The sequence below is a fragment of the Homo sapiens genome, chromosome 4, assembly GCF_000001405.40.
Source record: "Homo sapiens chromosome 4, GRCh38.p14 Primary Assembly".
Classification (NCBI taxonomy): domain Eukaryota; kingdom Metazoa; phylum Chordata; class Mammalia; order Primates; family Hominidae; genus Homo; species Homo sapiens.
Genome location: NC_000004.12, coordinates 113324927 through 113351248, shown reverse-complemented (window position 1 = coordinate 113351248; position 26322 = coordinate 113324927). Strand labels below are relative to the sequence as shown.

The 26322-nt window shown below is 35.5% G+C and overlaps 1 protein-coding gene across 73 annotated transcripts in view; it reads right to left on the bottom strand.

Annotated features, from left to right (window-relative positions):
- The window catches only part of ANK2 (ankyrin 2), a 678115-nt gene that overhangs the window by 32488 nt on the left and 619305 nt on the right, over positions 1-26322 (bottom strand). For 32 of the 73 annotated variants that reach the window (NM_001386187.2, NM_001386160.1, NM_001354272.2 and 29 more), the window contains 10 exons: positions 20779-21003; positions 18041-18195; positions 15192-15403; positions 14468-14672; positions 11927-12023; positions 9333-9561; positions 8107-8232; positions 5227-5349; positions 2941-2973; positions 1000-1021 (listed from right to left, as the gene is read on the bottom strand). In NM_001386187.2, coding sequence (NP_001373116.1) covers positions 1000-1021; positions 2941-2973; positions 5227-5349; positions 8107-8232; positions 9333-9561; positions 11927-12023; positions 14468-14672; positions 15192-15403; positions 18041-18195; positions 20779-21003 — 1427 coding nt within the window. Of the gene's footprint in view, positions 1-999; positions 1022-2940; positions 2974-5226; positions 5350-8106; positions 8233-9332; positions 9562-11926; positions 12024-14467; positions 14673-15191; positions 15425-18040; positions 18196-19178; positions 19278-20778; positions 21004-26322 lie in introns of those variants that run through there. The other 41 variants (NM_001386186.2, NM_001386148.2, NM_001354269.3 and 38 more) reach the window with 4 other exon arrangements.

The window sequence follows — 26322 nt, the reverse complement described above, 5'->3', positions numbered from 1 at the left end:
TTTCTCATTTTGGGAATATACTGTGAAATACAGCAAATCAAAATAAACTCTGAAATAAAGTTTATTGATATTCAATAAACTTTAAAAATCAGATTTTTAAAAAGCATTTGGGGCACAAAAGCAGAAATCTGTAAAATTCAACTGGAGTTTCCACACAAGAAGCCAGAGAGTCACTAGAAATAGTCCAACAAACTAAAATCTTAATTGGATATTACAAACCTGAAATGAGTTCTAAGATAGCTCTTTTAAGGTCTGTCAAAACCAGTTCTCTCTCTACTAGATCAGGTTTGGGATTTGCATCATTATTTAAAATTAACCCTATAATAACATGCTGTTGTGATTAGTAATTTTATCCAGGGGGTTTTAATTTTGCATTCTTGGCTCTTCACTTTTGTTTATTTTTGTTTTGTGGTTTTTTTTCAGAAAGTTTTCACAGAAGTCTGTTAGACCTCAGCTCTAAAGACATTGGTTACACTTCACCACAGTAAAAAGTGCAAAAGAGTGATGGGGGAGGGGGCAGGCATTGGATGGGGTTAGCTTCAGCTAAGAACTATTAGACAGTATCACTTTTGCAGGTGTATCCTACAAAAATAATGAGCTCTCTACAGAAGTCACTATTGCATTACATAAAAAGTGATACTGTCATGTCAGTGCTTAAAAAATGATGAGATGACAGTGTTTTGCTAACAAATGGACAAAACGGTAGGGTGGGTTTCTAAACAAGCATAACAGCAATACCAGGGTTAACAAGAATGTCAAAAGAAAGTGAATGCTTAGATGAATAATCATTGCATTTTACTGCTAATTAGCTCGCAAATTAGGTATATTTGTAATTTAACTGGCCAAGCTGCTTTTATAAATATATTAATGATTAATAAGGATAATATAAAAATGTAATTACTATAGTGGTTAGTAATAGCAACTAGCTTGCATTTTAATTCATGCTTCTTTTTATGGTAGCCAGCTTTCAAACAAACTCAATTTTCTTTAAATTCTTACTTTTTTCTGATGTCATATCGATCTGAAAGAAAACATACATAAATTGAATGGTTACAAATACTGCCTTGGCTCATAGCCCCTGGTGTGCACAAAAAGCTCCTATTCATAATTATACATGTTGGGTGACACCATAGCTATAGGAAGGTCAGAGTAATTTGCTACATTTTTTCCTGAGAGTCTCCATGATTCTTATCCTGACTTTGAAAAAAACCTTCTGTTTTCTAGACACTACAGGTAGAAAGTCCTTTCTAGCATGTTAATCCTGGGAAGATATGACCCAGGCTGGTTTTGATGTTGGAATACATATTTAGGGAATACATCAGAAAAAGGGTGAAGTCAGTATTGAATAATAAGTATCCATTTAGTGGAGAAAAAGGAAAGGATGACAAACAGCAACACTAGGGTGATGTGTTCTACAGAAGTAGTTTCATTATCGTTAATAATAAGCCAGCATTCCAGATCCTGAAAAGAATATGAACTGGATCTATTGCCCTAAATAGTTCCAGAAAGTATTCAGTAGGAAAATTATCTAAGAGAAAAAAGTGATTTGTGAACATGGCAAAATTGGCTTCCCTATCATTTTTAACAGCTGTAGTGGTAGGGTCACTGAGTACAGGAAGGAAATGGAGTATGTGAAGCAAAGAGTGACTGTGCAGTTGAGGGAAAGAATGACTTCAGTCTTAAGTTGATTGTGTATATGGCTATGTGCGGCAGGACAGTGCTTCTATAGTCACCTCTCTCACCCTGCTCCATTGCAAGGTATCAGAAAAAAAACGAATCCGGGGCATCTTCTGAACTGATAAGGGCTTACATTTTAAGCTGGTGGGTATAAGGGTATTTATTATATTTTTTATTTTGAATGCATTGGAATAACATTTAAAAAAAGAAAACTAGTATATTTGAAAACATTTACATATAACTAATAACATATGCATCTGTCTATCTTAGAAACATATTATTTTAAGTTTTCCAATTATGTTTTTCATTTCTATTATAATATTTGGGCATTTTCAGATCTTTATAACGGAGACAAACACACATTTGCTTTAAATATTGAAGCAGGTTTAATTCATACAGCTATTTATTCAAGGTAACCTCTCTAAGACTTGCTTTCTTCATCAATAATGTAGTATTTAATAACAAACACCTCATAGGTGTTTGTGAGAGATCGACATTGATGAGGCGTGTGCAACACTTAGTAAAGATCCCACTTTATAAGAAATTATTATTATTAGCATAGTTCTGCATTATGATATAGTCTAAGGAATCAGCTATATGCTTCTTAAAGTTTTTTGGTCTCAGTGTTTATCAAACTCTTTGGTCTTAGGGCCCCTTTACACTCCCAAAAATTACTGAGGAGCCTGAAAAACTTCCGATGGTGTGTGATATGTATAAATAGATATCCATATTACAAATGAAGGCTGAGAAAATGCTAGAACCTAAGAGTATGCAAGCATACATTCCATTAATTGCCAGAGTGGCAATATCATCACATGTAGTATAGCCTCTGGGAGACTCCTTTATAGTTTGTGAGGATATAGAAGTTTAAAAGGCAAATAATGTCTTAGTACATTTTTAATGTACTAAGACATTTAATTAAAAATTAAGACATTAATAATGTCTTAGTACAAAAAGAGTTTCAACCACTAGATGTCTTCTGACTAAGAACCCCTGAGATAATGGTTTAGCTCTTAGCAGTTGGTGGAAAAATATAGTATTGCATAGCGACATGGCAACAATTTACAGGGAAACTTTACTATTCCCTTAAGTTGCTCCACAAGATGAGAAAACAGAGGCTTAGAGAGGTTAAGTAAAATTGTGCCCCTTTAATTACTAAGAAGAACCGCCTACCCCGTCTAAGAACACAGGTTAACTATGTGCTCTTATTAGTGGTTACAGCAATGACACAGCCGATAACAAGTGACACTGTCATAAAATTACCTCTTCCTCCTGTTCTTGATCTGACTCTGATTCCTTTCCGCCCCAAGATGCCATGCAAGATGGAAAAAAGAGAGAAGGAAGAGTAGAGAGTATTTAGAAGAAAAGGAAAGAGTAAATAAATACCCTTTCAACAAGCATCAACAGGCAAGCATACAGTCAACATACTCTTTTTTTATTACTAACAGTTTATAGAAGACAGGCAGAAAAGAAGATTGGCTTAAGTACAAAGTTTATAGATTCAAGAGACAAAAGAACCAACATTATAAATATACTAATTCCAGATACTAGGTCACCACGGCAGTCTCAAAGTTTGACCTTAAATGAACTGGATGGCATTTGTCTTTAGAAATAGTGATGATAATATCCCAATCATTACAGATATTGGTTGAAAATACTAAAAGCTACAAATAAGCATATGGTGGAAAATTTTCAATACACAGGCAATATTTAGAAGCATTATTCTAACAAAGAGCTACTAAATTCTTTCTTTTTTTTTTTTTTTAATAGAGACAAGGTCTTGCTATGTTGCTCAGGCTGGTCTTGAACTACTAGACTCAAGCAATCCTCCTGCCTTGGTCTCCCAAAGTGCTGGGATTACAGGTGTGGGCCATGGTGCCCAGCCAAGAGCTACTAAATACTAAGGTATATTTTCAATGTACAATGTCTGGGATTTTTTTCTTTTTGAGTTACAAATTAGAAAATTGTACTGGACTATCACAGCATTAATAGCTGTGTCTGATATGTCTTGACTTAGAAATAAAATGTAATAATGAAGTTAATGCTTTCTCTTAGAGCACACTGAAAGCTCACTGAAATCAGCCAAAGCTCAGTCATCTTTCTTTAACACTCAGGTGGCTTGCCCGCAGCAGTACATATTTCTTTGTCGTTCTTATTGGCATACTGCCTCCACTGACTCACTACTAATCAGCAATACAAACCCCAAAATACATTCTGCACCATCAAAATACAATGAAATTATGCTCATTTGGGTTGATATACCCATTTCTATATTTTAATTCTTGGAATAACATGTATATTTAAATATACAAATAATATTTTATTTTATTCATTTAATAAAAATTTACAATGTCAAACCTAATGCTATGAGCTTTTCTCTAGATGGCTGATCTCTATTTACAAGAATAATTCATTAAGCAAATATAAAATTTAACAACTGTGGTGGGGAAAAAGAAGTATAGGACTTTTTTGTTTTGTGATGTCAAGATTTAGGATTTTAAATATATTCCTACTTCCCCTCCAGGTCTCAGCAGTCACCACTCATCACCCTTCCCAACCTGTTATATAGACACTGACAACTTCTGCATCCACCTATAGATTGCCATGTGAGAGCTTCCTATTCAAAAGAAATATTGGTTAAAAAAATTTAAAAGAATGAAACATAAATTATCCACAACATTTAATTGATTTAGTTGTCTTCTTTGATTTCATCAGAGTATTCGAGGAATTACGTGAGGGGGAGAGATTTCAAAAGAAAGTAATTCCTGTAGGTAGACTTGGGGTCAGAAATTAATGTATTTCTCCTTTTCAACAATGTTTTAAATCTACTCAAAACATGGCGATATGTTTTTTACTAATCAACTATTTCAACTATTTTTTATTTTAACCAACAATTTACACAAGTTATGTTGCCTAAGCTGCCCTTGAAGTCCTGGGCTCAAGTGATCCTCTCACCCCAGCCTCCAGAGTAGCTGGGACTACAGGTGTGCACCATCACACCAGTTTATATGCTCCTAAAATATGATAAGTTCGAAGATTAATAGTTAATTACTTAGAAAAAATAAAATATCACGGGGCAGTTCTGAATTTAATAATATGTAAGCCACCTGTGAATTGGTAGTAAACAGAAGGTGATGAACTCTAATATTTTCATAGGGCCAAATGCACGAGTATGGTCGCAGGAAAGCACATGAAAACAATAATGAAGAAAAGCCAATTAGTTTTAAAAATTTCTTCAAAAAGTTAAATCTGAAGCCAAATTTTCTTACTTCCATGCCCAATGTGTATTAATAGAATTTTTGCATCAAAGTGCATTTAACATGAAATCAGGTGGCACTACGTTTTTTCTTAAGTGGAAATCGTAAATCTGACAGAGAATCAAACGTGATTATTACACATGCTTTCAATCAGTCTTTGTTGGTATTCATTTTATTAGGTCAGTGCAAAAGCAATTGCTGTTTTTGCCATTACTTTTGCACTGACCTAAAACAAGATTTAAAAATCAATTCCTACTCTACCTGAATTGCACTATAGCAGATTTTACGATACCTTTGTATAAATCGGCAAAGTGATGTTTAAGTTGCAAATAGCTTGATGCACCAGGCCTCTCGTGGATTTTGGCTCCTTCATAAATGATAGTCGTCCGCAAGGTTCCTGAGTCGTATCGCGTACCTTGAACAAGAAAGACATACATGCTTCACCCACATTTGATTTGCAGTATTTACTTTAACTAGATGATGCTTGAAAGGGAAAAGTAAAATTCATTTGTTACTGCTAGGTAAGAACTCAAAGGATTTCCTTTCTCTTTTCCTATTACCATTTGGAAAGCCTTTTTAAAAATCATTCAGCTTTCTTTTTTAGTCTTATTTAAGTATGGTAGACAAAAATTGCATATATTTAAGGTGTACAATGTGATGATTTGATATATGTATACATTGTGAAATGATTAGCGTATCAAATTAATTAACATATCAATCACCTCATCCCCCTTTTTTGTGGTGAGAACACTTGAGATCTCTTAGCAAATTTCAAGTATATAATACATTACATACAATTAACTATAGTTTAATGCTGTATATTAGATCTTCAGAACTTACTCAGCTTTTAAAATAATTATGGTAAAATATACATAACATACAGTTTACCATTTTTACTATTTTGAGGTAGAAAATTCAGTGGCATTAAGCACATTCACAAAGTTGTATAATCATTACTTCTATCCAGAATGTTTTTCATCCTATGCCGAAACTGTCCCCATTGAACAATAGCTCCCCATTGCCCTCTTGCCCAGCCCCTAATAACCTCTATTCTACTTTCTGTCTCTATACGTTTGCCTATTCTAGGAACATGTAGAAATGGAGGAACCATATAGTATTTGTGTCTGGCTTATTTTACTCAGCGTAATGTTTTCCAAGTTCATTCATATTGCATCATGTGTCAGAATTTCATTCCTTTTTTAAAAAATTGTGATAAATATATGTAACATAAAACGTATCATTTTAATCATAAAAATGATTAAACCTAAAAAGGTGTCTAGTTTGGTGGCATTAAGTACATTCACATTGTTGTATAATCATCACTACCTTCCATCTTTAGAACTTGTTAATCTTCCTAACTGAAATTCTGTATCTATTAAACAATAATTCCCCATTCTTCACTTCTCCTGTCCCTAGCAACCACTCTTCTACTTTCTATCTTTATTTCACTTCGAGGAGAGGTCAAAAAAATAAATAAAAACAAATGCTTTCTCTCTTTATGAATTTGACTACCCTAGGTACCTCATATAAGTGAAACCATACAATATTTGTCCTTTTGTGTCTAGCTTATTTCATTTACCATATTGCAGCATAAACTAGAATTTCCTTCCTTTTAAAGGCTGAATAGTATTCCATTGCATGTGTATACCGCATTTTGTTTGTGGACCTTTGGACTTTTGGGTTGTTTCCATTTTGGCTACCATGGCTAATGCTGCTAAGAACATTGGTGTGCAAGTAATTGAGTCTCTACTTTAAATTCTTGTGGGTGTACATCGAGAAGTAAATTGCTGAATCATATACTAATTTTATGTTTAACTTTTTGAGGAAAAACCATAGTGTTTTCCAAAGTCGCTGCACTATTTTGCATTTCCACCAGCAATGCATTAGGGCCCCAATTCGTCCACATCCTTCCCAACATTTGTTTATTTTCTGTTTGTTTGTTGTAATAATAGCCATCCTAATGGGTATGGAGTGGTATCTCTTCACAGTTTTGATTTGCATTTCCCTACGCTGTTGAACATCTCTTCATATGCTTATTGACCATCTGTGTATCTTCTTTGGAGAAATGTCTACTGAAGCACTTCCCTCATTTTGTATTGGGTTGTTTGTAGAATGATTCTGCACACCAATGATGTCAAACATTAGCTTAATTATATAGCTGTCTATGTTAAATGGATCCATTACCTCTGAGCAGTTACTGCTTAATGTGGTGATCTGTAAGAATCTATCATCAGTCAGGCAAAACAATTGAACCAGAAATGGCACAATGAAAGAGACTCAGCAGAGATCTTGGAAAAACTTAATAAGAGGTTTGCAGACACATGTTTGGAAAAATAATAAGTGGTTAAAATAAAAAGAGTCATTGCTGATGAACAGTTGGAAATGAGTAGGTGAAGTAGGATTGGAAAAAAAACGACAGAAGCCAGCCTATACCTAAGAGGATTGAGCGTTAGGACCTCTGGATTAGTGAAATAAATTGTGAGAAACAAGAAGAAAAATGAGCTTGGAAAATAATGCAGAGTAGAATTATTACCTCCTTTTTATTTCCTGAATCTCTTATTCCTTCATATGTGGTCCCTTTTAGATTGGAATCTAAAATGAAACTTGCATATATCACCTCAAATCCCTAACTTGGTCTCTGTTTAGAGACAACAAACACCTGGTGCACACAAATGTCTCCATGCTGTTTATTGAATGAATTTATGAAAATATATCAAGTCTATAGCTCTATTGCAGATAATTTACTAGCTTAAGTGAGATGCTGGGTCTTTTGAGAGATTTTATTACAAAAAGTTGCCACTTAGAACTCTTTTGATCTCCACACTTGTGAAGTTCACGTGTATTTTTAAATCTAAGCATAAATATTTAAAAGTTATAATAGATAAATAAGCTTTCCTTCAAATTTGGAAAATACCGGTCACTGTGCCTAATTAATGAGTTGGCTATTATTTGTCCTGTTCTCATCCTTAAATATAGTCTATAAAAATTCAGGTTGACTTTGAACCTCAAAAATAAAAATGATTTGTTTCCCAGGGCTGTAAAACGTTACAAATATGGTTAAAAAGAAAACTCTGAAGATGACTGAAAAGCGAAAATTTTCTATTACTAAAGGAAGTCAAATTCTGCCTTGATCTTGAAAAAAATGCATCACAAAATTCCATGTATATATTACCTTGACAAATAGAGGAAGTCTATTTTCTTTGAAGGCAAAAAAACTGAATATATGATGCTGGCCACTTTTAGTTAATGGTACCAAGTTGCCGAAACAATCAACGTAGATGGGTTTTCCTTCTAACACCTGAGTGAAAACAGAGAGAAATAACAATAAAGTAGCTGCAATTATACTTGTTGTTTACACAAAGAAGTGGTAGTACTACTTGGAACTTCAAATTCTTATAATACACATACAACCATCTTTAAATTGACAACTGACATTCTGTCTATCTGTGACACAGCATGTCCAGCACTCTTTCTTCTTACTAGTAATGGGAATCTTTAATGCATGGTGACATTTAATGTTCTCATTCCAAAAAGTGTATCCCATTATTCCACAACCCCAAAATACATTTAAATCCTAAATTTAAACTTATGCTTGGGTAATTTTTTTTTTTTTTTGAGACGGAGTCTCACTCTGTTGCCCAGGCTGGAGTGCAGTGGTGCGATCTTGGCTCACTGCAACCTCCGCCTCCCGGGTTCAAGCAATTCTCCTGCCTCTGCCTCCTGAGTAGCTGGGATTACAGGCATCTGCCACCACGCCCAGCTAATTTTGTATTTTTAGTAGAGATAGGGTTTTGCCATGTTGGCCAGGTTGGTCTCGAACTGGTGACCTCAGATGATCCACCCACCTCGGCCTCCCAAAGTGCTGGGAATACAGGCGTGAACCACCACACCTGGCCTGCTTGGGTAACTTTTGACATCACAATGAGTCAGGTTACTGGACTTCAACACCCAAAGACCTACACTGATGGAAAATTCTGAAATAAGAAAAAGTAATGTAGAAAAGCACTAGACACCCTGCTTCAACATTTATGCAAAAAGATATACTTCCCAGACTGTTTTAGTTACTATTAAAAAATAAGGACAACAAGGAAAGCTAAAAACATCTAAAGTACTACAGTCACTTACATACTTTGAGTTTATCAATAACTCATAATTTTTCCTCAAATAATCTTTAAAGGAATCATCTTACCTTCTCACATGCACAGATCATTCCTATTGAATAGGTCCAAAATGGCTAAAAATGGCAGATTTTGGATGTTGACCTTCTAACTGACCAAAATGCGAACTTGTCTTTCACTTTTTAATTATTCTATTTATTAAATGATATTTGAAATGTAATCTATTAATGCAGGTATAACAACATGGCATAAATTATTATTATTATTTTTGGTACAGTACCTCCACATCCCTGCTTCTGGCCACCTCAGCAAAATTTTCTTGTTGTTCAAGGGTCTTATCCACTTTATCATCAGTCATGCAGAAACACCTCAACCTGGCTTCAATGGGGTCATGTGATTTGGCAAACACTACAAATTTGGCCATATAAGGTACGCAGATAATTTCTCTGTATACTTGTGATGCAAAAGTAACGGATTCCTGGATCTGTCGACAATCTATCAGCCAGAACCTATTAAAATAAATAAAGTCAGTTATCTAAAGTTCAAAGTATACCATGTGAAAAATAAAATCAGTTCCTTCAATATGATCAAAGTAGTCAACAAATGCTTCTTGGAAAAAAGGAAGTGAGAGAGGGAGATAATGAGAGAAGGCCAAAGGAAAGAAATAGCAAGACAGGAACAAAAGGAAAGGTAGGAGGAAAGAAGGGAAAGCAGAAGGGAGTGAAGAGAAGAGAGAAAGATATCAGGTTTAAGATCAACTATTAAATACTGTATTTCTAATTTTCTTTTTTGGAAACTCTTCTGAATATTCAGTTTTCTGAACTATATATTTAGTGTTTTGGAATCCTTTAGTGGAGTGAACTCAATAGCAGACATAAGACAAGGATCTCACTGCATAGTTTTCTATTTTCCTTGATCCCCCCTCCCTAGCTGTCATTTCATTTCCTGAAACTCTTTTCAACAAAATCTACCCAGCTTTTCCTCCCCTCGTTATTCTTTTCCATGGAACTCTAATCACCAAAGTGGAATCAACCCAACCATTTTAAAAAACCTGCTCCAGAACTCCTAAGTATTGCTGAATATAATTCATAGAAGAAATTATTGGCTATAATGACTTTATGATTTCCAGCCTCAACTAAGTCTGTGACATTGACTGGCAATTTTTTGTTCACTATGGTAACGTTACTAAATCTTATGACACTCTTTAAGCTTCATCCCTCACCACAGGCCCTAAGAGAGCTAACTTCACAAAGAAAGTCGAGGTCATTAGATGGAAATATTTTCATTTTGTTATTTTATACTTCCAAAGGGTTTGTTTTTTTTGTTTGTTTTTCTTTTTTTTTTTTTTGAGACGTTGTCTCGCTCTGTCGCCCAGGCTGGAGTGCAGTGATTTATCACTTCTTAATCTACCCTGTAAGACCTTTTATAAAGTGTTGGCAACCAACAGTCCTAGATTTTGTTTGTTTGTTTTTTGTTTGTTTGTTTTTTGCTTTGTTTTGTTTTTGAGACAACGTCTCTGTCGCCCAGGCTGGAGTGCAGTGACGCAATCACGGCTCACTGCAGCCTCGACCTCTCTGGGCTCAAGAGATCCTCCCGCCTCAACCTCCCTGGTTCCTAGGACTACAGGTGTGTGCCACCATGTCCAGCTAATTTTTGTATCTTTTTTGTGAGAGACAGGGTTTCACCATGTTGCCCAAGCTAGTCTTGAACTCCTGGGCTCAAGCAATCCACCTGTCTTGGCCTCCCAAAGTGCTGGGATTACAGGCATGAGCCACCAGGCCCAGCCTCAAGTATTATTTTTGAATTATAGACTACATGGATAATTGTTGCTATCCCCCACTACACCTTCTCATTCTATCTTTGCATCTTTGCTCATGTTATTCTCTTTTTCACTTTTATCTGCCTATTAGGTTCCAACACATGTCTCGAGTCACCTCTTCTCAGATACCCTCTCTAGCTATCCCAATTCGAACACCCTTCTCTCATTCTTTTAGTCCCTCTGGTCTATATCTCTTATTCAGAACATGTCATCTTCTGGATTACAGTATAGATGCTAAATTGGCAAAACACATTGAAACACAGAACTGCGGACTCAATAGTTGAGCCTCTGGGTGGCTGGAACTATAAACATGTGCCACCACACCCAACTATTGCTATGCCATTACTTAACTATTCATGCACTTTTATGTTTTCTCCTCCACCCCAAATAGAAATGTACGTTTTAATTACTCTCAACTTCAGTTTTCTCATCTGTAAAATGGACATAATGTCTCTTGCCCTACTTAAGTCACAAAGTTGTAATGTCAAGTTAAAGAGAGGTAACAATGCTTAGCAATCAATTAAAGATCAAAGGAATGGGAGCTAACTTTAATCAATTGAGTTATTGTGTGCATAAGCAATAAAACTAGATAGCTTCATCGTTTTAAAGATATGTAATACATAAATAAGAAATGTATATAAGAGCCACTGAAGCCTCTAAGCCTTTTAGACAAACCACGGTGAGATTTGTGCTGTTATCATTCTGTTGGAAAAGTAGTTCAGGCTATTTTGCTGACAACAGGAAATTATCATTCCTAAGGACTTTGGAAGTGGAAAAAGCAGCAGCTGCTACTGACTAAGTCAGAATCATACAGGCAAAGCAGACAATCGCTCCTTTTCCTTAGATTTTAATCGGATTGGTAATACTTTGTTACTGTATTATCACTATTCCACTTGCTGACAGATCTAGTTTAAAATATAAAAGCAAAGGCAGACCATATTTAAAATCCAATGAAAAAATAACTTTTAAACAATAAAGAAACAAAATAAAACAAAGGGCAGTTTTTTTGGAGGGTAACATATCATAGTGGGCTTTTCTGTGCTATATAACGATACCTGGCAGACACGTTTGTTGTAAAGGAAACACATTCATTGACAAATGTTAATGGCGTAGTTCCTGTAATATCTTCCCACTGGGCAGGGGTGGTTCCACCTGAAATAATATGATTGTTGAAAAAAATCAGGCAAAACTCCAGACTCTAGATTCTAAAATAAAGTCTTTGTGGTTCTGTGTTCACAAGCCAAATCCCACCCCTCAAAATGGCACATTGAAAACAAAATGACTAAAATCTACATGCTAAAAAATGACACACTGAAAACAAACAGCAGACTACCACTCAAGAAACTAAGTTTTAGGGTAGTTATTTGAATAAGTGTTTATTAAGCCTTCTGTTCTCTTCCTGACATTCTGAAGCTTTTATTATAATTGCAAGGCTCTGAAGATAATTTTGAATTGTATACAGCTGATTATTTTTAAATATCCTTTGACCACCTAAGGAGCTGAACAGTTTGTTAAAACAGTGAACAATCGGCCGGGCGCGGTGACTCATGCCTGTAATCCCAGCACTTTGGGAGGCTGAGGTGGGCGGGTCACAAGGTCAGGAGATCAAGACCATCCTGGCTAACACGGTGAAACCCCATCTCTACTAAAAATACAAAAAATTAGCCGGGCATAGTGGTGGGCACCTGTAGTCCCAGCTACTAGGGAGGCTGAGGCAGGAGAATGGCGTGAACCCAGGAGGTGGAGCTTGCAGTGAGCCGAGATTGTGCCACTGCACTCCAGCCTGGGCGACAGAGCAAGACTCCGTCTCAAAAAAAAAAAAAAAAAAAAAAAAGTGAACAATCTAAATATTCTTTTGTTCTTAAACTTCATATTTTATGAAATTGTTTTCAAAAAAGTTCCTCTCGATGTGCAATAAAAGTTTAGCCAAAAAATGTTTGTGAAATAGTAAGAGCTCAATAAATATTGCAAGGTAAATGAAAAAATAAATGAATATCAAAGGATGGCCCCTGTACATTGAAAAACTACCATGAAGGCTAATGGTGACTACCTGTCTTTCATGTCTACTGAGAAATTAAGATCACATAGATAAGGACAAAATTTTAGTTCAAAGGGCTGTAGGAGGAATATATGTTTGAAATGAAGAAAAGTCTTGACTCTAAAGTTTCTTAAAGAAGAGAACAAGTTATCAAAGAAAGTTTATGGAAGTTTATTCTAGTAGGCCTTTAAAATACATACTCAGCATAACTACATGACACAGAAAAATACAAAGACTCAAATATCTAGGTATTTAAACAATTAATACATTAAATTATTTGTTAATTTTTAAAATAATTTTAATTAAATTTCAGAAATGTTTATGAGAAACCTGTCTAAAGACATTGTGCTGGAATAAATAGAGTAGATGGTGTTTAGGCCCCTAGAGTGTTTATTTAATCACTATAAGGGCAGAGCGTATCACAGATATTCTTCTGCCTCACCTATTTCACATCCATGACATTATATTGCACATTATAGAAGGTTAATCATATATCTACGGGGCTGGAATTATGGGAAAGATACCCAGAAATGATAGCAATAACCAAAAATGAGCAACTGGGAAAGAGATCATAAGTGAAGCATATGATTTCCCCCCACTCATTATTATTAAACTTATGGAATAATCTCGTGGTTCTCTATCATAACTACAAGAAACATACGAGTAAGAAGGGTGAATTAAAGAAAACAAAATAAAGGTGAACATTCTGCCAATATGAAAGAGAAATGAAAATAATAATTCTAACAATACAAAAACATCCAGGGATGATTACTGTTCCTACTAATAATAGTACTAATATTTACTGAATACCAACACCATGTAATTATTGATAGAGAAATTATCAGTTAAATTATTTAGCCCTAGAACAGATTATTCATGTGAATTTTTTTGCCTCTCACTATTTGTGATGGCATTGTTATGAAGAGACTACCAACGTTCTGGGAGTGTCTTTGGAGAGTTTGGTAGCTGTCTGAAAGCGACTACACAACCACAATTGAAAAGACCAAAAATCAGTTAATCACTGAAAACCTTTAAGTTGTTTTTCTAAAGTTAGTTCAATAGATCAATGATAAAGACATAACCAATTCCATAACATAACAGTTTGGTTTGAACTATTGGGTATAATTACTCAAGACAGTATTTTTTTTCCCAGCAGATTTAGTGATCTCTTCAATGAAGGCTTGAAGCCTGAACTTTGGAGACATATGGGTGTGGTTTTGAATCCCAACACCACCAAATATTTATAGTGCAAGTTATAGAACTTCTTTCAACCATGGTTTCCTTCTCAGCAACACGGGGTTAAAGTTTCCTCACAGGGTTACTGTGGAGATTAGAATGACAACGCATATAAACTATCTAACAGTTTGGCATACAGACTTCATTTAGTAAATAATAGTTGTTTCCTTTCACCTTTCATTTCCCTAGTTAATTAAAATGTATTCCCTGAATTAATGCATATGACCCTGCAGACATCTTATGACAAAGGTAATTTAATATTTACAACGATCTAAGTTTCTTTTTTCAGAACTCTCTACGAACACAGTCATATGTGACTCACCTGTTATGCTGCATAGTAATCTTAAGGTTGGTGCATCTCCCCCAAAACCATTCAACATGACATCACTTGAAGCTTTGGGGACAGGAATGGTCATGGTAATTGGTTTGTGGAATTTTCTTCTTCTAGGTTCCAAAGTGACTATAGGGCTGAAGGTAGCTTTGTTGCCTAGGATCTTCTTAACCAGCTCACTGTGCATAGGTTGAGCCTTTTCAAAGTAAAAACACACACATATATATTTGTGTATATATTTTAAAATAAAGAATGAATCATTATACTTAATTTCAAATTTCTTCCCCAAAGTATTTTTTATCTTACAAATAAGTTTGGTGGGCTTCAAATATGGCAATCATAAGTTCAGTATTATTACTAAGCACTCATAAAATTTTGTAAGATCCACGATCTCTGATGGCAGCTCTTGCTTACTAGGAATAATCTGATTCTTTAACAATTTATTTCTCATTTAAAAGCTAATTTCTTTTTTTTTTTTTTACAAGAAGAAAACATTTGTAGCTGGAGATTAATTTTGGTTAATTGTCCAAATATAAGTTGAATTTTTAAATAGATTAGTAACCAATAAATATGGATTTTGACTTTAGCTTTACCATTAATGCTACCTTCCTTTTTGGTGTGATTATAAAACAAAGGTAACAGTCCTTGACAAAGCTAATTTTTAATCATTAGAATACAATCCTGTTAGGATCATTTGCATCTAACATGGGCATACCTGCAGGCCTACGCGGATCCGCTTGGTGAGTGCCCCCTCTGGGAAGACGGCCTGCACCTGGGGCACCACTGTGCTGCTCAGTACACCTCCTTCTGGGCCAATCAGATTGCTGTCCTGTTTGATACGAGACACCACTGCAAAGTACTGTGGGAAGTCTCGGGTGATGATGCGGCAGATTCGTTTCTTTTCTAGGTCTTCTGGGCTATCCAGTACTAAGACAAGAAATGACCCACCTTCATTCACATAGCAAAGATTTCCTTCTAACAGCATTCTAGCCAACTCATTCGCTCGGTTAATAATGAACAGAAGTGCCAGCAAAACACATTTTTTTGAAACAACAGGACAATTTTAAAAAGCAAGGCTATCCTAACAACACCAGAAAACAAAAAATTGCAATATTTCAAGATCTGTCAGCATTTAGCTTGCATGTTTCCTTTCTTCTCAGTGACTTTCCAGGTCACTGAGAAAGATAAACATTTAGTTCTAGGTGCAGCATTGCAGGGCCACCTTTGAAATGAGAGGCATGAGGGCAAATATGGAATGAAATGAACGTGTTCTATTCCTGGTTCATGTGATGGAAAGGAAGTTGTTTCTGGGCTCCTTTTCTTTGCAAATTTCAAAGTTAGCTCAAATCCAAGTTATTGTGGTTTTAAGAAGTAACATAGCCCTTTGGGTTTTCAGGGGAATAATGCAGGAATAAAATCTATCTTGGAAGAGTAAGAGTCATGTTTATGAGTTTACTCCAGTGGAAGGGTTGTGTCTGAGGTACTCACTGTGGATATTAAAAAATCAGTGATTAGGAATTCAGGGTTTCAATATTCCCCTGATGCCATTAAATTTCCAAAAATAACATTTAACATCAAGAGGATGGGATCATGGGTTCTTTATAAATTGCATTAGTGTAGATATTCAGGGCAATACAAAAAAAATCAAACTAGTTTAAATTTAGAAAATGTGCACTATATAGATCACTGAATTTTAAGAGGTGATGGAAAGTTGTTCATTTTTAGAAATCATTTACAATTCATTATAGAGGCAGGAACAGCAACTACGTTTTTCTTGATTATTGGGCATAGCTAGATAGTAAAAGTAAAAAGTCCCAGGATCTGATTCCACATGATTGAAGACTGATGCACTGGCAAATACTAGCCTATATTTATTTTTAAAATTTCCAGACATACACAAATCTTTAACTTTCTAGTAATAGATTAATTAATCTATTAACTTTCTAGTAATAGATTAATTAATCTATTAACTTTCTAGTAATAGATTAATTAATCTATTAACTTTCTAGTAATAGATTAATTAATCTATTAACTTTCTAGTAATAGATTAATTAATCTATTAACTTTCTAGTAATAGATTAATTAATCTATTAACTTTCTAGTAATAGATTAATTAATCTATTAACCTTCTAGTAATAGATTAATTAATCTATTAACTTTCTAGTAATAGATTAATTAATCTATTAACTTTCTAGTAATAGATTAATTAATCTATTAACTTTCTAGTAATAGATTAATTAATCTATTAACTTTCTATTAATACCCATGTAAAAAGCTCATTTTTAAATAAATAAAGTTAAAGAGTGGGTCCCCATCCAAGGGCAAGATACCAATGCTCACTGGCAGTGTCATTGATAGGTAAATATCTCAGAGGAAAATATCCTAAACCTAAATGTCAGCAAAAGGAATGGTTCCAAGAAGTAGAAGCAGCTAAATATTGTAGGGAACAATTTTTATTAATAAAAACCCTGATTTTTTTCTTTGCTTAGAAGATATTGACTTAACATATCTAGAGGGCATAATTTCTTCCTCCATCCACCCCTTGGATAAGATAAGCCTGGCCTCTATTCTTATTCAAACCGTGGTAGGATGTAGAAAGAAATGGTAAAGAAGCGATGGTCAGGCTACTCTTTCCTATCCATAAGCCATATCTGAAACTAGTGCCAGAAGACTCAAGAACTTGATAAACAGCTATACTTGCTCTTGAGTGTCTAGCTGTATACAAAACTTGGTATGTTCCTGGCATGCAGGCAAAGAACTTGCCCTATTTGTGTAGTTACTTAAAGTTGAATGTGAATTCTACTATTAGGTCTAGGACCTTTTCTCTGTGCAAACTATGGAGACCTGAGGAAGAGCCGCTTTCCTCTTTTCATACTGAGATATTACAACCTTGTGCAGTCCAAGACAGAGTTGAGATTTACAGCAATTGAAGTTCTAATGGAAAACTAAGTTCCTAAACTAGATGTGTATGTATGTGTATGCAATTCAACCCTGGCTAACTCCCTGTTTGAATTATAGGTAGGAAATTGAATGAACTTAATTTTCCTACCCCCTTAATAATAGTTTAAAAATTATAGTATTCTATAACTTACTAATTATGGGTAGATGTAAGTTTTCCAACACAGTAGCTTAACACTTTTTATCAGTATCTTAAATATCTAATGTTTCAAGTTAGGCATTGTTTTAAATCATGGATTTATTATCCAGTATCAGTTCATTTCGTTATGAAGCAACAATATCTATTCTATCTCATTTTCGGCTCAAAAAAGTTTACACTAAAAATGGAAGCATGCTGCATCTCTTTAATGAGATGTTTGATATCTTCAAGGCTTTTATTTTCCTGAATGTAACAGGAGTAAAATTAAGCAAAAGTATTGTGCATTCCAACTCATCACTACAGGAGCAAAGCAGATTACCTGCTGTAGTAAAATACCACAAGGGACACACACACACACACACACACACACACACACATATACACACACCCCTAGGTCATAAGAAAGAAATGAATCATTTTCATGCTTCCAGTTTAGATTTCTTTTAAAACGCTTCATCTGAAAGTACCTTCATCCATGCCGTTAAGAATTTCATTCAATTCATCTTCAGTGTAGTCACAGAAATGCTCTTTCCAGCTGTCCCCATTCTCACTGCGCAGGACCACCAGTTCCCTTTCCTTTCCTCGAAGGGCCGCAAAGTGAGGGATCTCCACGATCACAGGCCTGACATAGCAATGCAGAACATTCAGTGTGGACAGGAGCTAACTAACAGCAAGACAAGCACCTCGACTCTGTTGCAAAGTGACCTGGAATTCTTCTTTTGCTGGGGACAGGGACATAGTGGGCCATCCCCTGGAGCCCACTGGCTAGCAGATGGTCACACAGTAGCACTCCACCTCAGGGGCACCAATCCTCAGGTACATGCTGCTACCTTAAGCCAAATAATGTTTCCCTGTGAGTGCATGTGACATTCTGGAACTTCTCCTTTGATAAATGTAAGTAGAACACATTTAACCAAAAGAAATGTACATGCATATCTATGATGTCTGCCAATCTCCTAAAACATTTTCGACAAGGTGCAAAATGACGAAATGGTTTAAGAGGAAAATGGCTCACACATTGCATAATTTGATGTGTCGTAAATGAGGAGATGTCAGAAAGTTGACTACTTGTGAACTAAAGAGCCATGCACTCGTGGTTTTTGCTTATATTTTCTTCATTCAAGGAAACAATAGGCATGTGTACACAGTGTGGCCCTAATTGAGCCCCTCAGCAGACAGCCCAATTGTGTCCAATGCCTATTATATTCAGGATCCGGAACATGCACTGCCCTATTATTTTTAGGTCACATTCGTTCTCAAAATATGTAGAGGGTTTTGATTTTTGGGTCCAGGTTGCTTTGATACAGACTCCAAATTCATCATAACAACATCATAACTAGCACATAGTACAACTAGGCAGATCTCATGCTTAAACGAAAATGAAGGTCACAGCACTTTAAGGGGAAAGATATAAAAACATCACTCAAAAATAAAAGTCACATACCACAAGGGTCAGAAATGGTCCACTAAAGATAGGTTATACAGAATTTAAATCATAGAAAGGGACATGTCATGGGCACAATGACAAAAAAGAGAAATCATATTGCAGAAGAAGGAGAAGAATGGGGGGCCAGCAGCCATCAATTTGTTTTAAGTCACTCCTACCCAAGGAATTTGGTTCCAGGAGGCCCCAGCTGAAGAATGCGGCTGACCAAACTTTCTCCCTCATTAAGTGGGGGAGGAGCCGTTGGCAGGTGAAGTTTACTGAGTACATCCAAAGCAGCAGTGAAAGAAAGAACATAGGTAAGCTTCAGGTATTGTCTTCCACAGAACCCCAGCGTCGCCAGCTGATCCACAGGGTGAACTTTGGTTTCACACTGCGTTTGGTTCTGCCCCCTCCATTGGTCACAAAGAGCAAGGAACCGAGACCCAGAGTGTACAATGGAGGCGCGTCTGTGCAAGGAGAGCACTTAGCTGTCCGGTCTGTCCCTAATTAGGTTCACCGCCAGGGCACTAGCCAAAAAGGGGGAAAAAATGCTCCACAAGAAAGACAAGCTGTTGGGAATATAATGAAAACTCTGCCCTGTACAGAGGCCAGATGTTTTCATGCATATTCCCCAACAGATCTGAAGATTATTAAAAAGCCTAAACTATCTGAGCACGAGGGGAACAGGGTCTGACACAGAATATGAAAAGAATCATTGGGGAATTACTCCAAACATAATGGCATTTTCTGATGCAACCCAGAACTTCACAGGCTCCTTGTAAAGCTCTGGTCTGTCTGACTGGAGGACATGAGAAGTGGTTGCTATAATTGGGAAATATAAACACACCCCTTTTCAGGTGTGAACATAATTTGGAGCAATCTGCTAATAGTTTGGTCCAAATTACAAAGCTTTAGAACATTTCCTGAGTTCTAAAGCAAGAAATCCTCTTCCCAATATGACATCGGCAAAGTAAAAGAGTTCACGATTATTAGGATTTTCTCCCAGTATTTCAAGCACCAAGACTTAAATACAATTGATTTGTTTCAAAATATTTTGAAACTTGTCCCCCTCCAAAACTTCATCCTTTTGTTAATTTCAGCTGTAGCTATTCATTTCTTGGCACAATGAAATGCCACTTAATATAACAGCAGCCGTACAAACAAACAGAAGAAAGAAGAAATGCTAAATTCTGCTCAAAATTGCCAAAACGAGCACGGTGGAAGCTAGTCTTGATGTATTTGTCTTAATATAAACTGTGACTAAATAGCCAATGTAATGATAAGGCTCAAGGTAGCAATTTTGATAGCTGAAAAAAAAATCACATTGATTAAATTTGTAGGTATTCTGTAAAGGCAACATTGCTTTCCAAAGTAAAGATAATGATTCTGTTTCATAACTGTATGAGAATTTACATTTATGCTTGGAACAGAGCAGAATTTTTTCTTTGTGACTTTACCACTTAATTCTCAGATGAGAAAATAATACCTACCATCGGCTAAAATACTGGTTATTCACATTGGGGGTCTGGCAGCTATTATTAACATCCAAAAAGAAGAAGTGGTATTCAACCTGAATGTTTAACTCATTAATGCCTTAAAATAAGAGGCGTGTAAGTGGAGTCAAGCATTGAGGTGCTACTTCCAATTTTAAAAATGTCATTGGTGCTGATCCTCTTTCAAAATGGTTTGACGTACCTTTTTCCATTCCATCCTAGTGATTTCATGTAGAGGACACAAGCTCATCGATGACTAAGTGGGAGGTTTATCAGAAACCCTTACCCAAGGAACTGAGCACCAGAAGGTCCAACTTCGATCAGGCGACTGGCCAGGCCTTCTCCTTCCACCATTGGAGGCATTGTTGCCAGTCTGTGGCGCTTGACCAGTCGGCAGGTGACTCGCGTTGGAGCAGTACATTTCCGAGGTGGAATAATGATTCGGAGCCCATTGTGTCTGCATCCTCGCATAGCACCACCTCGGGCATCCACCATAAAACTAACCAGGAAACTAAAAATTAAAATAGAAGATTAGATATGTTTTGAAATATTGGGGGCAGATGAACAAGCTTTGTCAAGTTGTTTTTCGTAATGCTTTGTCTCAAAATCTCTCTTTTTTATTTAAATGCATGGTGGTAAAATGCTTGTTTTTAAAAGTTATTTTACTTTATACCAATGCCTTTAATTCTGTTTTGTTGTTGTTCTAATTTTTATATTATTTTAATCTGTAAAGAATAATTCTAATTTTTGCTGACAATGGTGATGTTCAATATAAACTGTAAATTAAAAATAAGCCTAATTGATTTTGAAGGAAAATGGAATGAAATTACATAAAGAACAATTGACAAGTTTCCTTTTGTTATAAATGGAAAGACTTCTGCTTCCTTATGTGTACATCCTAAAAAATCTACATGTTGAAATAATACAAGGACAAAGCAGAGAGGAAAGACCAAATTGCAGTTTTTCTGCATCCTGTTCCAACATCATCTTACCCAGGATGTAGATTTTTAACTGATTATATTCTAAAGGAGGAGAAATGCAAAATAATTAAATCTTTTGAATTGAACTAATTTAATTTGCTGGTTAAAATGTACTTTTTAACTTATTGAGTAGGAATCTCTCTGCCATACCATTCTAATTGAAATGAACAGCAGGTGGATAGGGAACAAGTAGGCCCGCCCATACACCATTTTTGAAGTGAAATTTCAGGAGTGGGAAACCCTGGGCTCATGCTGCTGGAAGATATCTGTATCATCTGTATCATGATTTTTCTCAAATTGTAATAAATTGAATGTAAAAAATTATAGCTAATAATTTAGAAATGTTAACAGCATCCCTATTAATTTTTCTCCTTTTCTTCTAGGTTAATTGTTCATGAAAAAGGAGAACTATAATCCAAGATGACTTGGTTTCTTTAAGTGTACCAAGAGAACGGGTTTGTCTTAACTTTGAAGTTGTTTCCTTTGGGATGGTCTTAGCAGATCCTGATCCAGGTTAATTTGAATGCTTGTCATTTGGTTGGTATTAACACTCATTAAAGTCTCCCAGGCACTTACTGTGTCGAGGAGCAAAAATTAAACAACACAGCAATCTAAGTGTTGTGTATACGTATACAAAGACATACAAACTGTGTGTACTCTCTTTCACAAATTACATTAGTGTCTTTTCAAATTTTCATTGCATTTGCAAGATCTTTACACCAAAATGGGAAGAGGAAAGCAACATACAGGTGTATCATGTCTCTGCTTATAATCTGCTCAGCACAGAACCAACTGGATTTGTCCCACCTAGATATTGCCTCCACGACATTTAAAACATTTGAAAGGTATTTTATCAAAGTAAGTTATGGGATATAAACACAAAACATTTATGTTATTTTTAGATAAATGAAGAAAAATATCTTAGCATCTTCTTCAAAGCGGAACACAGAACTCATTAAACATGCTATTAAACAGAAATCCTGTTGCTAGTAATAAAAATGGGTGCGAAGGAGCCCAGAGTGCCTGTCTGAAGCATGTCATGCAGGATGAGACCACAAGAGGCAGCACAGGCCTTCCCACATGCAGGGGCCAGGCTAGACCTTCCATTCATACCTAGCCCGCTTAAAGTTTTCAGGAAGGAGTAAAAACTGGGAAGTACAATCAACAGTTCAGTACTGAAGTGTTGATGTTTCTGGTCTTTACCAAAACATAATGAGAAAATATTTGCCACTTTTCTTATTACTAGTCTTCCAGTATGAATTCTTTAAAATTTTTTTTATTTGACTTTTAAATGAACTATTTGTTGCTCAAAAGAATGAAAATACTGGTAACACTTCTAGACAGATGTAAAGTTTTCCTTTCCATTTTATTGTTCTTATTTGAGTAGGATACTTAGGTTGGTTTTTGTGAAAAAGTAGCAAAAAGTGACAAGTTTCAACTAGTGCTACTTCCAAATTCATTGCAATATTTTTGACTCACTGATAATTAAGATTAATATTTCCTTTGTTTTTTTTTTCATCTTTTGGTTGCTGCCTCCATTGGTGCACAGACAGGAACTCAAACTAGTAAGGAATTATTATAATACACCTGCTTAATGTTATCAATCCTCAGTACTATTTATACCTTTGAAGGCATTTAGTAAGTTTCCACGCTCATGTTGTGTGCTATAACCTCTCCACTACATTTATTCCAGTGATGGCTTATGGCCTATATAACATGGAGCCTCGATGGAAGAACATGTAGAGTATCTTCTGGTGGCCCATTCTCTAAAGAGTGAATTGAAGTAGCTAAGTTCCTGACTGTAACAATGTTTAAGTAACTACAGGTTAGATTACTTGCCCTGATTGTGTCATTGACTGTGTCTCTTGAAACTCTCTTTTTGTTCTCACTTGCTCTATAGTTCCGTTTCTATGCTCCTTTCAATGCAACATTTGTTACCCTCCTATTAAGTGTCAAGTGCCCTGCTAAGAACTGAGGATACAGAAAGTAAAGACATAGCAGCTGCTGCCACAAAGTACATGGTGTAAGCCCCAGATGTCACATGATGGTTTCGTCATTACTTGGAACTGCTTACTTTCCTGGTCACTGAGAAATGACTAAGTCCACACATAGGAGCCATAAAAGTGCCATAATAACAGTGAACATGTTCTCCATATTTCTTCCTGTGTCCTCTAGAGCCTGGCACAGTGTGGATGGAGCACTTAGCAGGCAGTCAATAAATAACTGTTGAATAAGCGAATGTACAACCTAGTGAAAAGGGCAAGACGTGAGGAGCTGTATATATTTATGTCTAAGGCTAACATAGGAGGAAATTTAATTCTTTAGTCTCTGGACAATCAGAGCAGTCAGAATTCATTCGAATCACTATATTCAGATGTAGGAAAGCAGTTGGGAACGACTCTCCTGAATGTTAAATATTCTCCTACAGGCTTATTCCTGCTCTAATGTATATAGAGAGACCTAATACATTGATTTCCTTTGATAGAGGACTAGTAGAAAATGAGAGTAAGCAAAAACCAGAAGTTTGAATTTAACAAAATAAACCATTTTAATAGAAGTTAAAATTATATGAAGAAAGACCAAAGATGGGAAAATCAAAATAATAGCACTTTAAAGCCTGAAGCTGCAAGCAGATAAATTTACCTATAAGTATCTCTGTGTCATTGTAAACCTGGAAAGTAATATTTAAGTATTGCACAAAAATCCAAAGCAAATTGGAAAAATTCAGGTGCCAGTATGCATAATTCAGAGAAAAAACAATTTTTTTTTCCTTGAGAGAGGGTCTTACTCTATTACCCAGGCTGGAGTGTAGTGGTGCTATCATAGCACACCGTAACCTTGACCTTCGGGGCTCAAGTGATCCTCCCATGTTAGCCTCCCAAGTAGCTGGGAATACAGGCAGCATCATTGCACCTGGCTAATGTTTGTTTGTTTGTTTTCAGAGATGGGGTCTCCCTATGTTGCTCAGGCTGGTTTTGAACTCCTAGGCTCAAGCAATCCTCCTGCCTTGGAGTTCCAAAGTGCTGGGATTACAGGTATGAGCTACTGTGCCTGGCCTAAATTAAATTTTTAAAGAAAACAAGCCTTCGTGTTTTTATCAAGTAACTAAAGGAAGAAACACAAACCAAAAAAACCCACCAAGTTGTAGTGAGGAAATTTTCTTTAGAAGAGAAAGAGAAGAGAGAGAAGAAAGTAAAACAGAAAGATGTCAAGAAAGAAATAAAAATATTGGAAGATATAAAAAAGCTAAATATTAATAGTCAAAATGAGTAAAACTGTTTATAAAATCTAGCAAGAAAATACTCTAAACAAATTAGACTCAAATAATGGAATTGCCAAACAACTGATAAAAATGCTGAATTTACAGAATTGCATAATAAAAGAAGTCTTTTCTTTAAATAAGAAGGAACAGGAAAAATAACTCAAGTTTATAGCTAGGTGCTGATGAAAAGTCTATTGACAATAGGTATGCTTATCAGTGAATCCCAACAGTTGATAATATAAAATTGGGTAAGCATCTGAGCATTTTCATTAAAAATATTAGAATACCCAAAAGTGCCACTATTTGGACAGGTAGTAGAGTTAGGAGACAGGTATTCTACCACGTAAAAAACAACTGCAAATAAGCATAAAAAAAATTGTAAGCAAACGTACTTTTATGTACCACAGGGAAATGAGAAAGGTTAGAAGGTGTGAGTCGCGAGATGAGTCGTTCACATACTGGAGTTGACTGAATCAATGTGATTTTTCTCATGTTTGCAGGAGATTAAAAATGGGACAAGATAATCCCCATAAACATTTGGAGATGAAAATAACTTAAGTAAAAACATATAATTAAATATGTTTAGAGGAGGCAGTAATATGGATTGATGGCTCTGCCTGTCATCTATGATCTTTAAGATTGAAGCCTCACCTGGCAATGAAAAATAATCCTGTTACCACTTAAGGTTACAGTGAGAAATCTTGTGTGGGTAAAGCATACGGAATTCAATAAATGCTTGTTCCCATCATCTTCCTTTCTCTACACTTACGGGATTTTACATATTTTAAATATCTTAAACACAATACAATATACCACTTGAAAAATAAATGGAGAAACTAACCTTTATTGAGTACCTACAATGAACCTGGAACTATGCTAAGTAGTTTAAAATGATGATGAAGTTTTTATTAGTTTATGAAGTTTACTTAAATAAGATATAAAAATACTATTATCACACAGCACAGGAGAATGCAGCAAGTACCATGCTCTTCCCTGGGTCTAGTTATATCTCTATCTTGAATTAATGTTGTAACCTCAGGTAAGTCACTTAACATCTTTAGATTTCAGTTTTCTTATCCATAAAATGGGAGACTTATACTAAATAGACTCTAAGTTGCCTTCCAGTATTAAAATTATATGCACAGTTTACTGTTAACTAGGTTAGGAAACCTACTTAAACCTTTCATTTCAGATGCTCTGAAAGAATTCTTAATTGGAAAATAAACTGCTATTACTTCAGGAAATATATATCATTTTTGCTTTATGGTTAAAACAGCTGTTTTGCAGAAAATGTGTACACACACTGCACTAAACATTGACTTAAGACTGTACATACAAAAAATATCATGTTAACACTCAGCTTTAATTGCATCTCTTACTCTCCAAATGAAATTCAGCAATCATGCAAAGTAGAAACTCTTGTTGAAGTTTTCTAAATTGTGAGATACAATGTTATCACAATTTAAAAAGAATAAAAGCAAAAGCAACCATTATTATGCAGATGACTTGCCTACAAATACACAATTTGATTAGCTAAACAGTACATGCTTCAGAGGAGGCAGGAGAAAACCATGATCCAGTCATTTGA